Source organism: Homo sapiens, chromosome 8, assembly GCF_000001405.40.
Source record: "Homo sapiens chromosome 8, GRCh38.p14 Primary Assembly".
NCBI classification, from domain to species: Eukaryota; Metazoa; Chordata; class Mammalia; order Primates; family Hominidae; genus Homo; species Homo sapiens.
Genome location: NC_000008.11, coordinates 15,550,149 through 15,564,721, shown reverse-complemented (window position 1 = coordinate 15,564,721; position 14,573 = coordinate 15,550,149). Strand labels below are relative to the sequence as shown.

The window sequence follows — 14,573 nt, the reverse complement described above, 5'->3', positions numbered from 1 at the left end:
CTAGAACTCTGTCACAATGTCCTATCTAAACATGGGACACTGGGAAATGTCATCTAGCTTGTGTCTGTGAAGAAGAGAAAACTCATACGGTAAACAGGTCTGGCACACCATCAACGGATGTAAAAGAAATATAATAAAATCTAATAAAAGAATGAAAGACACAGAAGGAAAATGACATAAGTAGCTCTAAAGCTGTTGACAAATGTGTTCAAATAGACACTGCACATATTCACAAACAAAAGGGGGTATTAAAAAGATGTTAAGTATCTTTCAATAATATTCAGTAATAATATACGGTAGACAGTGGATTCCACAATTTTCTTTTTTATAATACTACTCTGTTGACAGCTGGATGACGTTAAGATTTGTATATGAATATTTCAAATGAGACAAGAAATCACTTTTTTATTTTTTATTTTAGCTGTTAGAGAAATGTTAACTCAAAAACAACATGGCTGCCCAAACTTAGTTATCTACTATTCTCCATAATATTAATAACCTCGATTTGAAAATTCCATCCCCATTGTTACGAAGTTTCTAATGATTTTTGAAGTGCCAGTCACAAAAATTAGAAAAAAAATCTAAACTAATACTTTAAAAGACACTTTTTAAAAATTTTGAAACTTCAAGTAATTATCTGACAGAATAATAATGGTTTCTCCTATAATGGAGAGGAAGAGGGAAACATTTCTTTAAAGCATTTAATATATTAAAATCCATTTTAAAAGTATGTCCCACCAAACAATTGTTTCAGACTCAATGAAAATTTAACTTTGAATTTTAATTGTTCATATCCTCATGAAAAGGAAAATGCCTATCAATCTTCCAGACTTCCAGACCAGTTTAATAGGTATTCTGAGACTACAAGATACGTGAATTACTTGAAATAATTCTTATTTACAAGTGCTTACTTTTATGAATAACTATTTTCTCAGTATCATGCAATTTAAGAACTATGAGCTTTAAAACTACTCTGAGGATGGTTTCAGTCCACCTTTGTAGGTTCCAGGTTGTTCTTTTTTTTTTTTTTTTTTTTGAGATGGAGGCTCACTCTGTCACTCAGGCTGGAGTGCTATGGCACAATCCGGGCTCACTGAATCCTCTGCCTCCCCGGTTCAAGCAATTCTTCTGCCTCAGCCTCCTGAGTAGCTGGTATTACAGGCATGCGCCACCACAACCAGCTAATTTTTGTATTTTTAGCAGAGACAGGGTTTCACCATATTGGCCAGGCTGTTCTCAAACTCCTGACCTTGTGATCCGCCCACCTCAGCCTCCCAAAATGCTGGGATTCCAGCTTGTTCTTGAATCTTCCTTACCTTACAGCAATCTTCCCAACGGCCTGCCCTCAGACCACAATCTCCAACATCACCATGCAAACAGTAGCCTTTCAGAGACTACTTAACAGGTTCACACCATTGCAAATAAATCGAGAGACATAGAGATTCACCTTCTAGTGGTCCTGCATCTGTGACTGAACCCTGACTGACACACATGAAGTTATTTATGAAGTGATGATAAAGTTATCATCACTTTAATTTTATAGTCATTGGTAAATGTCTTATATTAAATAATACTGTCCCATACATTGACTGTCATGCCTGTTTATATGGGTTTTATAAGCCACCATTTAAAACTACATAAAATCTAAAAGTGCAGGCTTGCCCACTTTAGTAGGCATAAATGAAATAATCCCCAATGAACCACTGTAACGTAACTGCCTCCCCTGGGCATGGACAAGACCTGTGATATAGCAGAACAGCGCTCCCACAATTATGTTACCTTATATGGCAAATATTTGCAAACATAAGGTCTCTAATCTATTAACTCTGAGTTATTTAAATGAGAGATTATCCTGGATTAGCCTCACCTAATCAGGAAAACATTTTAAAAGAAGTGTCACAAAAGTGATCCTAGTGATCTGGAATAAAGCAAATAGCCATGCTGTGAACTGCCTATAGATGGTGCTCCATGGCTGGAACCTGGGGTTGGCAGCAAAGAACTGAGAGCAACACAAGCAGGAAGAAAACAAGAAACTCCTTCCTACAACTACCAAAAGCTGAATTCTGCCTACAACTTGAATGAGTTGAGAAGAGGACCCAGAGATTCAGAAAAGAACGCAACCCGGTCTCACCTTAATTTTGGCCTCCTAAGACCCTTAACAGAGACAGAATCCAGCTACACCATGCCCAGACTTCTGACATCTAGAAACTAGGAGATAAGAAATGGGTGTTATTTTAAGCCACTAAATTGTGGCAATTTTTTATGCATCAATATAAAACTAATATACCCACAAACCACCCTTACACTTTACATCCTATTTCTTAACGCTTAAAGTGGATTACTCATCTTAAGGGAGAGGAGATAAGACGGATGGAAAGATAAATTGCGAAGCGGTTTTATTAGCTATGCCACACTAAGAAATAAGATTTTTTAGAACAGGATATCTTATATACCATCCACGAATGATAACATCTCAGAAGAAAACCGTAAGATAACAGTGTTGGTAAATCACTACAGTACTCAACCTCACGCAGTAATTGTGTAGTGATACCCCAACTAGGTTATAAGAAAATGCCGGGAAGTTCTTATCTCCAAGATCTCTGAAGCTAGACTCCTGCATAGCTGTTCTTACTGCTGCTGTTTTTCCATTTCCATCTTAGCTATGAAGGCCTACTTAAAAATTGATTTTTGAAGAGAGGAGCCAAGATGGCCGAATAGGAACAGCTCCTGTCTACAGCTCCCAGCCTGAGCAACGCAGAAGATGGTGATTTCTGCATTTCCATCTGAGGTACCGGGTTCATCTCACTAGGGAGTGCCAGACAGTGGGTGCAGGAGAGTGGGTGCGCACACCGTGCGCCAGCCGAAACAGGGCGAGGCATTGCCTCACTTGGGAAGCGCAAGGGGTCAGGGAGTTCCCTTTCCGAGTCAAAGAAAGGGGTGACGGACGGCACCTGGAAAATCGGGTCACTCATACCCGAATACTGCGCTTTTCCGACGGGCTTAAAAAACGGCGCACCACAAGATTATATCCCGCACCTGGCTCGGAGGGTCCTACACCCACGGAGTCTCGCTCATTGCTAGCACTGCAGTCTGAGATCAAACTGCAAGGCGGCAGTGAGGCTGGGGGAGGGGCACCCGCCATTGCCCAGGCTTGATTAGGTAAACAAAGCAGCCAGGAAGCTCGAACTGGGTGGAGCCCACCACAGCTCAAGGAGGCCTGCCTGCCTCTGTAGGCTCCACCTCTGGGGGCAGGGCACAGACAAACAAAAGGACAGCAGTAACCTCTGCAGACTTAAATGTCCCTGTCTGACAGCTTTTAAGAGAGCAGTGGTTCTCCCAGCACGCAGCTGGAGATCTGAGAACTGGCAGACTGCCTCCTCAAGTGGGTCCCTGACCCCTGACCTCCTAGCAGCCGAACTGGGAGGCACCCCCCAGCAGGGGCACACTGACACCTCACACTGCAGGGTATTCCAACAGACCTGCAGCTGAGGGTCCTGTCTGTTAGAAGGAAAACTAACAAACAGAAAGGACATCCACACCAAAAACCCATCTGTACATCACCATCATCAAAGACCAAAAGTACATAAAACCACAAAGATGGGGAAAAAACAGAACAGAAAAACTGGAAACTCTAAAACGCAGAGCGCCTCTCCTCCTCCAAAGGAACGCAGTTCCTCACCAACAACGGAACAAAGCTGGATGGAGAATGACTTTGACGAGCTGAGAGAAGAAGGCTTCAGACGATCAAATTACTCTCAGCTACAGGAGGACATTCAAACCAAAGGCAAAGAAGTTGAAAACTTTGAAAAAAATTTAGAAGAATGTATAACTAGAATAACCAATACAGAGAAGTGCTTAAAGGAGCTGATGGAGCTGAAAACCAAGGCTCGAGAACTACGTGAAGAATGCAGAAGCCTCAGGAGCCGATGCGATCAACTGGAAGAGAGGGTATCAGCGATGGAAGATGAAATGAATGAAATGAAGCGAGAAGGGAAGTTTAGAGAAAAAAGAATAAAAAGAAATGAGCAAAGCCTCCAAGAAATATGGGACTATGTGAAAAGACCAAATCTACGTCTGATTGGTGTACCTGAAAGTGATGGGGAGAATGGAACCAAGTTGGAAAACACTCTGCAGGATATTATCCAGGAGAACTTCCCCAATCTAGCAAGGCAGGCCAACGTTCAGATTCAGGAAACACAGAGAATGCCACAAAGATACTTCTCGAGAAGAGCAACTCCAAGACACATAATGGTCAGATTCACCAAAGTTGAAATGAAGGAAAAAATGTTAAGGGCAGCCAGAGAGAAAGGTCGGGTTACCCTCAAAGGGAAGCCCATCAGACTAACAGCGGATCTCTCAGCAGAAACCCTACAAGCCAGAAGAGAGTGGGGGCCAATATTCAACATTCTTAAAGACAAGAAATTTCAACCCAGAATTTCATATCCAGCCAAACTAAGCTTCATAAGTGAAGGAGAAATAAAATACTTAACAGACAAGCAAATGCTGAGAGATTTTGTCACCACCAGGCCTGCCCTAAAAGAGCTCCTGAAGGAAGCACTAAACATGGAAAGGAACAACCGGTACCAGCCGCTGCAAAATCATGCCAAAATGTAAAGACCATCGAGACTAGGAAGAAACTGCATCAACTAACGAGCAAAATCACCAGCTAACATCATCATGACAGGATCAAATTCACACATAACAATATTAACTTTAAATGTAAATGGACTAAATGCTCCAATTAAAAGACACAGACTGGCAAATTGGATAAAGAGTCAAGACCCATCAGTGTGCTGTATTCAGGAAACCCATCTCACGTGCAGAGACACACATAGACTCAAAATAAAAGGATGGAGGAAGATCTACCAAGCAAATGGAAAACAAAAAAAGGCAGGGGTTGCAATCCTAGTCTCTGATAAAACAGACTTTAAACCAACAAAGATCAAAAGAGACAAAGAAGGCCATTACATAATGGTAAAGGGATCAATTCAACAAGAAGAGCTAACTATCCTAAATATATATGCACCCAATACAGGAGCACCAAGATTCATAAAGCAAGTCCTGAGTGACCTACAAAGAGAATTAGACTCCCACACATTAATAATGGGAGACTTTAGCACCCCACCGTCAACATTAGACAGATCAACGAGACAGAAAGTCAACAAGGATACCCAGGAATAGAACTCAGCTCTGCACCAAGCGGACCTAACAGACATCTACAGAACTCTCCACCCCAAATCAACAGAATATACATTTTTGTCAGCACCACACCACACCTATTCCAAAATTGACCACATACTTGGAAGTAAAGCTCTCCTCAGCAAATGTAAAAGAACAGAAATTATAACAAACTGTCTGTCAGACCACAGTGCAATCAAACTAGAACTCAGGGTTAAGAATCTCACTCAAAACTGCTCAACTACATGGAAACTGAACAACCTGCTCCTGAATGACTACTGGGTACATAACAAAATGAAGGCAGAAATAAAGATGTTCTTTGAAACCAACGAGAACAAAGACACAACATACCAGAATCTCTGGGACGCATTCAAAGCAGTGTGTAGAGGGAAATTTATAGCACTAAATGCCCACAAGAGAAAGCAGGAAAGATCCAAAATTGACACCCTAACATCACAATTAAAAGAACTAGAAAAGCAAGAGCAAACACATTCAAAAGCTAGCAGAAAGCAAGAAATAACTAAAATCAGAGCAGAACTGAAGGAAATAGAGACACAAAAAACCCTTCAAAAAATTAATGAATCCAGGAGCTGGTTTTTTGAAAGGACCAACAAGATTGATAGACCGCTAGCAAGACTAATAAAGAAAAAGAGAAGAATCGAACAGACGCAATAAAAAATGATAAAGGGGATATCACCACCGATCCCACAGAAATACAAACTACCATCAGAGAATACTACAAACACCTCTATGCAAATAAACTAGAAAATCTAGAAGAAATGGATAAATTCCTCGACACATACACTCTCCCAAGACTAAACCAGGAAGAAGTTGAATCTCTGAATAGACCAATAACAGGAGCTGAAATTGTGGCAATAATCAATAGCTTACCAACCAAAAAGAGTCCAGCACCAGATGGATTCACAGCTGAATTCTACCAGAGATACAAGGAGGAACTGGTACCATTCCTTCTGAAACTATTCCAATCAATAGAAAAAGAGGGAATCCTCCCTAACTCATTTTATGAGGCCAGCATCATTCTGATACCAAAGCCAGGCAGAGACACAACAAAAAAAGAGAATTTTAGACCAATATCCTTGATGAACATTGATGCAAAAATCCTCAATAAAATACTGGCAAAACGAATCCAGCAGCACATCAAAAAGCTTATCCACCATGATCAAGTGGGCTTCATCCCTGGGACGGCAAGGCTGGTTCAATATACGCAAATCAATAAATGTAATCCAGCATATAAACAGAGCCAAAGACAAAAACCACATGATTATCTCAAGAGATGCAGAAAAAGCCTTTGACAAAATTCAACAACCCTTCATGCTAAAAACTCTCAATAAATTAGGTATTGATGGGACATATCTCAAAATAATAAGAGCTATCTATGACAAACCCACAGCCAATATCATACTGAATGGGCAAAAACTGGAAGCATTCCCTTTGAAAACTGGCACAAGACAGGGATGCCCTCTCTCACCACTCCTATTCAACATAGTGTTGGAAGTGCTGGCCAGGGCAATTAGGCAGGAGAAGGAAACAAAGGGTATTCAATTAGGAAAAGAGGAAGTCAAATTGTCCCTGTTTGCAGACGACATGATTGTATATCTAGAAAACCCCATTGTCTCAGCCCAAAATCTCCTTAAGCTGATAAGCAACTTCAGCAAAGTCTCAGGATACAAAATCAATGTACAAAAATCACAAGCATTCTTATACACCAACAACAGACAAACGGAGAGCCAAATCATGAGTGAACTCCCATTCACAACTGCTTCAAAGAGAAGAAAATATCTAGGAATCCAACTTACAAGGGATGTGAAGGACCTCTTCAAGGAGAACTACCAACCACTGCTCAAGGAAATAAAAGAGGATACAAACAAATGGAAGAACATTCCATGCTCATGGGTAGGAAGAATCAATATCATGAAAATGGCCGTACTGCCCAAGGTAATTTATAGATTCAATGCCATCCCCATCAAGCTACCAATGCCTTTCTTCACAGAATTGGAAAAAACTACTTTAAAGTTCATATGGAACCAAAAAAGAGCCCGCATCGCCAAGTCAATCCTAAGCCAAAAGAACAAAGCTGGAGGCATCACACTACCTGACTTCAAACTATACTACAAGGCTACAGTAACCAAAACAGCATGGTACTGGTACCAAAACAGAGATATAGATCAATGGAACAGAACAGAGCCCTCAGAAATAACACCGCATATCTACAACTATCTGATCTTTGACAACCTGAGAAAAACAAGCAATGGGGAAAGGATTCCCTATTTAATAAATGGTGCTGGGAAAACTGGCTAGCCATATGTAGAAAGCTGAAACTGGATCCCTTCCTTACACCTTATACAAAAATCAATTCAAGATGGATTAAAGACTTAAACGTTAGACCTAAAACCATAAAAACCCTAGAAGAAAACCTAGGCATTACCATTCAGGACATAGGCATGGGCAAGGACTTCATGTCTAAAACACCAAAAGCAATGGCAACAAAAGCCAAAATTGACAAATGGGATCTAATTAAACTAAAGAGCTTCTGCACAGCAAAAGAAATTACCATCAGAGTGTACAGGCAACCTACAAAATGGGAGAAAATTTTCACAACCTACTCATCTGACAAAGGGCTAATATCCAGAATCTACAATGAACTCAAACAAATTTACAAGAAAAAAACAAACAACCCCATCAAAAAGTGGGCAAAGGACATGAACAGACACTTCTCAAAAGAAGACATTTATGCAGCCAAAAAACACATGAAAAAATGCTCATCATCACTGGCCATCAGAGAAATGCAAATCAAAACCACAATGAGATACCATCTCACACCAGTTAGAGTGGCAATCATTAAAAAGTCAGGAAACAACAGGTGCTGGAGAGGATGTGGAGAAAGAGGAACACTTTTACACTGTTGGTGGGACTGTAAACTAGTTCAACCATTGTGGAAGTCAGTGTGGCGATTCCTCAGGGATCTAGAACTGGAAATACCATTTGACCCAGCCATCCCATTACTGGGTATATACCCAAAGGACTATAAATCGTATTGCTATAAGGACACATGCACACGTATGTTTACTGTGGCATTATTCACAACAGCAAAGACTTGGAACCAACCCAAATGTCCAACAATGATAGACTGGATTAAGAAAATGTGGCACATATACACCATGGAATACTATGCAGCCATAAAAAATGATGAGTTCATGTCCTTTGTAGGGACATGGATGAAATTGGAAAACATTCTCAGTAAACTATCTCAAGAACAAAAAACCAAACACCGCATATTCTCACTCATAGGTGGGGACTGAACAATGAGATCACATGGACACAGGAAGGGGAATATCACACTCTGGGGACTGTTGTGGGGTGGGGGGAGGGGGGAGGGATAGCACTGGGAGATTTACCTAATGCTAGATGACGAGTTAGTGGGTGCAGTGCACCAGCTTGGCACATGTATACATATGTAACTAACCTGCACAATGTGCACATGTACCCTAAAACTTAAAGTATAATAAAAAAAAAATAAAAAATAAAAAAATAAAAAATAAAATTGATTTTTACCTCTATTTTCTAATGGTTTTGATCATTTATATCCAGAAAGCATACATTATTGATATATTTTTATCAGAGAACTATAAATTATTATAAATCAACATTGGCTTATATTTCATAAAATGACCCACAGCTGAAAGAGTCCGTAAGAAATTTACCTAAAGTTAATACTTCTAAACAAAAGCCTCCTTAGAATAAATGATCAAATGTTGCTAAACTTCTACAAGATTCTTTAGATACATGCAATATTCCAACAGTTATGAAATATTACAAACATGAAAGGGCTTATCTGATTCATAAAAATATCAAAACATCAGGAAATTGGTTTGAGACCTTCGAAGTAAAATATGAGAGAAATGAAGGTTACCATTAACTGCCTAACAATTTCTCATTTTAAGACTGTAATACTGTAATCCCAGCACTCTGGGAGGCCAAGGCAGGGGGATCACTTGAGCCCAAGAGTTCAAGGCCATCCTGTACAACACAGGGAGACTTCGTCTCTACAATACAAAAAAACTAGCTAGGCATGGTGGCAAGTGCCTGTGGTCCCAGCTACTGGGGAGGCTGAGGTGGGAGGATCACTTGAGCCCAGGAGGTCAAGGCCACAGTGAACTGTGATCCCCCAGCACTGCACTCCAGCCTGGGCAACAGAGCAAGACCATGTCTTTAAAAAAAAAAAAAAAAAAAAAAAAAAAAAAAAAAATTAGCCTGGCATGGTGGCACATGAACCAAGGGCCAAGGAGGCAGAGGTTGCAGTAAGCCAAGATCACACCACTACACTCCACCCTGGACAACAGAGTAAGATCTCGTCCCCCCCAAAAAAAAAAAAAAAAAAAAAAAGACTGCTATTATAATATTGTCACCTACGTACCTAATCAAGGAGAAATCTTATGTAAATTTTTCAAAATAACAACCAATTCCTTACATTCTCTATATCTATAATGTGTGTTCCTTCAATCTCCTTGCCAAAACCCCAAACTTAAATAGCCCTTCACACGATTTAGCAGCGCTTCATTGCTTTCTGAGTCAATTTACCTATTTCCACAGTAGCTATTTAAAATTATAATAAAATGTTGGCCGGGTGCGGTGGCTCACGCTTGTAATCCCAGCACTTTGGGAGGTTGAGGCAGGTGGATCACGAGGTCAGGAGATCGACACCATCCTGGCTAACACGGTGAAACCCCGTCTCTACTAAAAATACAAAAAAAAAATTAGCCGGGCGTGGTGAGGGCGCCTGTGGTCCCAGCTACTCGGGAGGCTGAGGCAGGAGAATGGTGTGAACCTGGGAGGCAGAGCTTGCAGTGAGCTGAAATCACGCCACTGCACTCCAGCCTGGGCGACAGAGTGAGACTCCATCTCAAAAAAAAAAAAAAAAAAAATTATAGTAAAATGCAAAAGTCAACAGTCCTTGAAACAATCCAAATAGGTTAGACTATAGTGCACTAAGAGCTCCAAATCTCAGTATTTAAAAATAAATAAATAAAAGTACATTTCTTCATTGTGAGTTGTCAGGGAGGCTGCTCACCCTGGTCATTCAGAGACCCTGGCTGATAAAGCATCTACCATCTCAAACATTCCCAGTCAGCACAAGACAGGAAAAAAGAATACAGCAAAGCATGCAATGGTGCTGCAAGCTTCTGCCTAGCAATGACACACATCTCCTTGCATTTCACAGGCTAAAGTTAGTCATGTGGCCATGCTGAGTTCAAAATATTAGGAAAGTTAAATCCTACCTGCTAGGTCTGCATGTTTGTATCCCCACAAAATTCTTATGTTGAAACCTTATCACCATTGTGATGATACAAGGAAGGTGGGGTTTGAAGAGATGACAAAATCAAAAATCCATAGGTCCAAGGGAGCTCGTTTGTCCCTTGAATCATGTGAAGACAGAGAAGTGCCATCTCCGAGAAAGTGGGCCTCACCAGACACGGATCTGAGGTCACCTTGATCTTGGACTTCCCAGCTCCCATAACTGTGAGAAAAAAATTTGTATGGTGTATATGCTGCCCATCTGATGGTTATGGCAGTCTGAACAGCCTGACACTACCATATGCATGGGGGAAAACAAAGTATCTACGAACAACCGTAACAACTACCATATTTCCATATAAGGCTAATGCTGTCAGCTGTTCTCCACTTCCCATTCCTTCCTCCTACCTTCTCAGTCACCTGACATAACATTCTTTATTTTCATTTCAGCTTCTTCTCCAGCTACCACCACTTAACTCTCTCTTCCCATTCACAGCAAATTGTTTGAGAAGAAGTGTTGGCTGCCTCCACTTCCTCACAACCCACTCATTAATTAACCTACCACATTCTAGTGTTCACTGTAACACTGCAATGAAGCCGTTCTTGCTAAATCCGAAGAACTGTTCAGTTGTTATTTAACCTCTCAGTGGTCAACATTTATCACTTTTGACCTCTCCTTGGAACATTCTCCTCCTGTGACATCCAAAATTCTGCTGTGTTTCCTTGTAAGCTCCTCCAGCAGCAAAGTCCAAACTTATCACTGTTGACCTCTCCTTGGAACATTCTCCTCCTGTGACATCCAAAATTCTGCTGCATTTCCTTCTAAGCTCCTCCAGCAACGAAGTCCAAGGATCTTTTGCAAGCATCGCTTTTGCAGCACACCAAAATATTGGTATCTTTGAGGGGTTTGCAACAGGTCCTCTATTTTTTACTGTAAGTGCTCTGGCTGGGTGATTTTTATCCACCACCATGAATTCAATTCCCATTTAGGCGAATGATTTTCAAGTCTATTTTATCATCAGCCCAGATCGAAGCTTCATTTCCATATATTCTGCTTCTCAAACATCTCAGTTTAGATATCACACAGGCATCTCATACATTCTCAAACACGAACATGTTATCTTCCTTCGAAAATCTTTCTTCTCCTGTTTCCTATTTCAATAAATAGAATTTCCCTTTTATCAAGAAATGTAGTCATCACCCTTGTCTCCTTTTCTCTCATTCCGCACACAACCAATTACCGAGTACTGTCTAGTCTGGCTCCTAAACAACTCTGGAATCCAAGTATTTTTCTTCATTCTCACTGCCACAACTAATTTCAAGTCATCATTACCTCTCACTTTGACATCTGCAGAAGCCTCTTCTCCAGTCTTGCATCCCCACCTAAGCTATTCTCCACAGCATAGCCATAGCAATCCTTCTAAATATAAACCTCACTTTGTCACTCCCAAGATAAAACCCTTCAATTCTCCCCACCGATTTCAGGATCAAGTTCAGATCCAGATTCTTTAACATGGCTTAAGAAGAGTCTTCAAGATTTGATCCTCACTTCCACTCTGGCCTCAATCCACTATTCCCCCACCCTGTGTATTCTAAACTTAGCCATACCAAGCTTTGAGTTCTCTGAATTTGCTGTGTTTTTTCATATGCTGGACCTTTACCAGTGCTGTTTAGCACTCGCCCTCTTCACTGGGTTATTTCCTATGATTAGCTCTTTAGTTTTCAGCTCACCCCAATATGCTAGTATAGCGCCCATTATTTCCCAGTTTATTGACTTCTTATATTACATTATAACTGCCTGATTTTCTGTCTGAATCTCCCACTGAACTATGAGCAGTAGGATATATCCGGGACAATGGCTGTCTTATTCATCACTCTACCTTCAAAATCCAGCACTGTACCTACCTAACATGTAGTATTCACCAATAAATATTTGTTGACAAAAAATGACAGATCACATATTGGAGAAACTTCAATAACTTGGCACTTTGTTCAGTAACATGTGCCATATTTTAGGATGATGATACTCCAATATATTTATTTTGTATTGCTTACATCAATAATAGTATTTCTACGTAAAATCATCAAAAGGTACATAATATGAAAAACATTTACAACATACTTAAGAAATCAACACCCAAACAGGAATCAAACATATAAGGCTTGTCTACTTTGGGCTTCTGCCATAATTAAAATGGCATAGACATCAAATCAAAGAAGTCTCCATACTCAAGAAGTTTCTATTTTACTAAGAAATCGGTAAAACACAGTATAAAGTTCCCTGGAATCATCTATTTACTGTGTCATGATGGAACCCTGTGAAAATCCAAAAACAAAGATTATGAACTATGTATACAAATGCTATGACGCTAACTCAACAGAAGTAACTTTTGAAGGAAAAGGGATACAGAGAAAAGGGAAGTAATACAACCAGTACCCTCCCATTCCTTTTTAAAACCTTGCAGAATATTTTGTTTCTTACCCTTATAACACGTACCTTGAACACAAGAGACCGGCAGTAATGACTAAGACAAATAACTTCTTAAGTTGTTTCTCCTGAGTTACTGTGGTATATAACACCTATGAAGTTCTTTGAAAACTACAGCAATGAACAAAAGTAGCTTACTGATTTAATTTATGGCTTTGTAGATTAGGTATTTGAAACAGGCAAAAATAATGAGTGTAAATTTAATTGCTATTTGACAGTCAAATAAAAGAACTTACACAGCTCAGCCACAATTAGTTTTTGTTACCCCCCACGAATCATATAACTCAATTAAATTGTTGAAAATTAACGTTATTTAGGCTTCTTTATAAGAAAGTTTTAATCAAATCAAAGCAAGACTGTTATCATGAGTCAACTTCTAAAACATAAAATTAGCTTTGATATATAGAGAAACTACCATAAATCATTCTATTACCATATTTTATATAATCTTAAAAATCTAGAAAGGATCTAAAAGTCTACTCTAGTAGTTTCTAGGCATTTTTAGAACCTAATAAAAATTAAAGATATGCCAGAAAAACACATTTATTCCATAAATGAAAATGTATGTAATTTCAGAGAACTAATGGGAAACTTTTTCTGCATTTACCATGTTCAGAAATCCTGATCTTGTTCAACCCTCTCATTTTACATTTGAGGACAACTGCTGCTCCAAACGGTTAAGTGACTTTCCCAAGAACACAGAGTTTAAATCAAAGGAACTAGAATCCACATTTATTTATCTAGAATTTTTACAAGGTCCTTAACACTTTGTAAGTTACCATTTTATTTCACCCCTGTAATCCCAGCACTTGGGAGGCCGAGGCGGGCAGATCACCCGAGGTTAGGAATTTAAGGCCAGCATGGCGAACATGATGAAACCCCGTCTCTACTAAAAATACAAAAATTAGCCAAGTGTTGTGGTGCACGCTTGTAATCCCAGCTACTCGGGAGGCTGAGGCACGAGAATCACTTGAACCCGGGAGGCAGAGGTTGCAGTGAGATGAGACCATGCCACTGCACTCCAACCTGGGTGACAGTGAGAGACACTATCTTTAAAAAAAAATAATTAACTAACTAATTAAAAAAAGATCAGCTACAAAAAGACAGAGGAAAGAATCATGATAGTAATGAAACAGTATGAAAGTGGCGAAAGGACAGGGGATGGGGGCAGGGTAGGAGGGTAAGACCCTGACAGCATAAATTCTTGATAATGGAGCATGAGAATACAATAACACAAACTCTGGTATGAGGAAACCTTGTTTTTAGTCCCAGCTTTGTTATTTAGCCTGAAACCTGACTTTCCTGCTCTAACATTCTATAATGCAATATTTTGTAAAATCACATTCTACAGTTACTATTCTCTTATGATTTACACTATGTCCAACATCTAAGCATGCAACTCATGTGGCTGTCAATGGAAAGCCAAGCTGAATTCAAGTGCCATTAAGGGAGGAGACCACCCATCATATTGTCTTATGCCAAATTTCTGCCTCCAAAGAAAACAGAAATAAAAACTAAAAGGCAGAAATGAAATCCACAGACAGACAGCCCGGTGCCACACCCTGGGCCTGGTAGTTAAAGAACGACCCCTGAC

At 39.9% G+C, this 14,573-nt stretch overlaps 1 protein-coding gene across 32 annotated transcripts in view, besides 1 other annotated feature; it reads right to left on the bottom strand.

The window, feature by feature from the left end:
* TUSC3 (tumor suppressor candidate 3) overlaps positions 1-14,573 on the bottom strand; it is a 434,904-nt gene that overhangs the window by 287,370 nt on the left and 132,961 nt on the right. The window lies entirely within an intron of this gene.
* Positions 2,348-2,935: an enhancer, noted in NCBI's record as "H3K27ac-H3K4me1 hESC enhancer chr8:15419296-15419883 (GRCh37/hg19 assembly coordinates)". NCBI's record gives its function as "activates a minimal SCP1, AML or CMV promoter by ChIP-STARR-seq in naive H9 embryonic stem cells {active_cell/tissue: H9 hESC(naive)}" and the evidence as "EXISTENCE:reporter gene assay evidence [ECO:0000049][PMID:30033119]".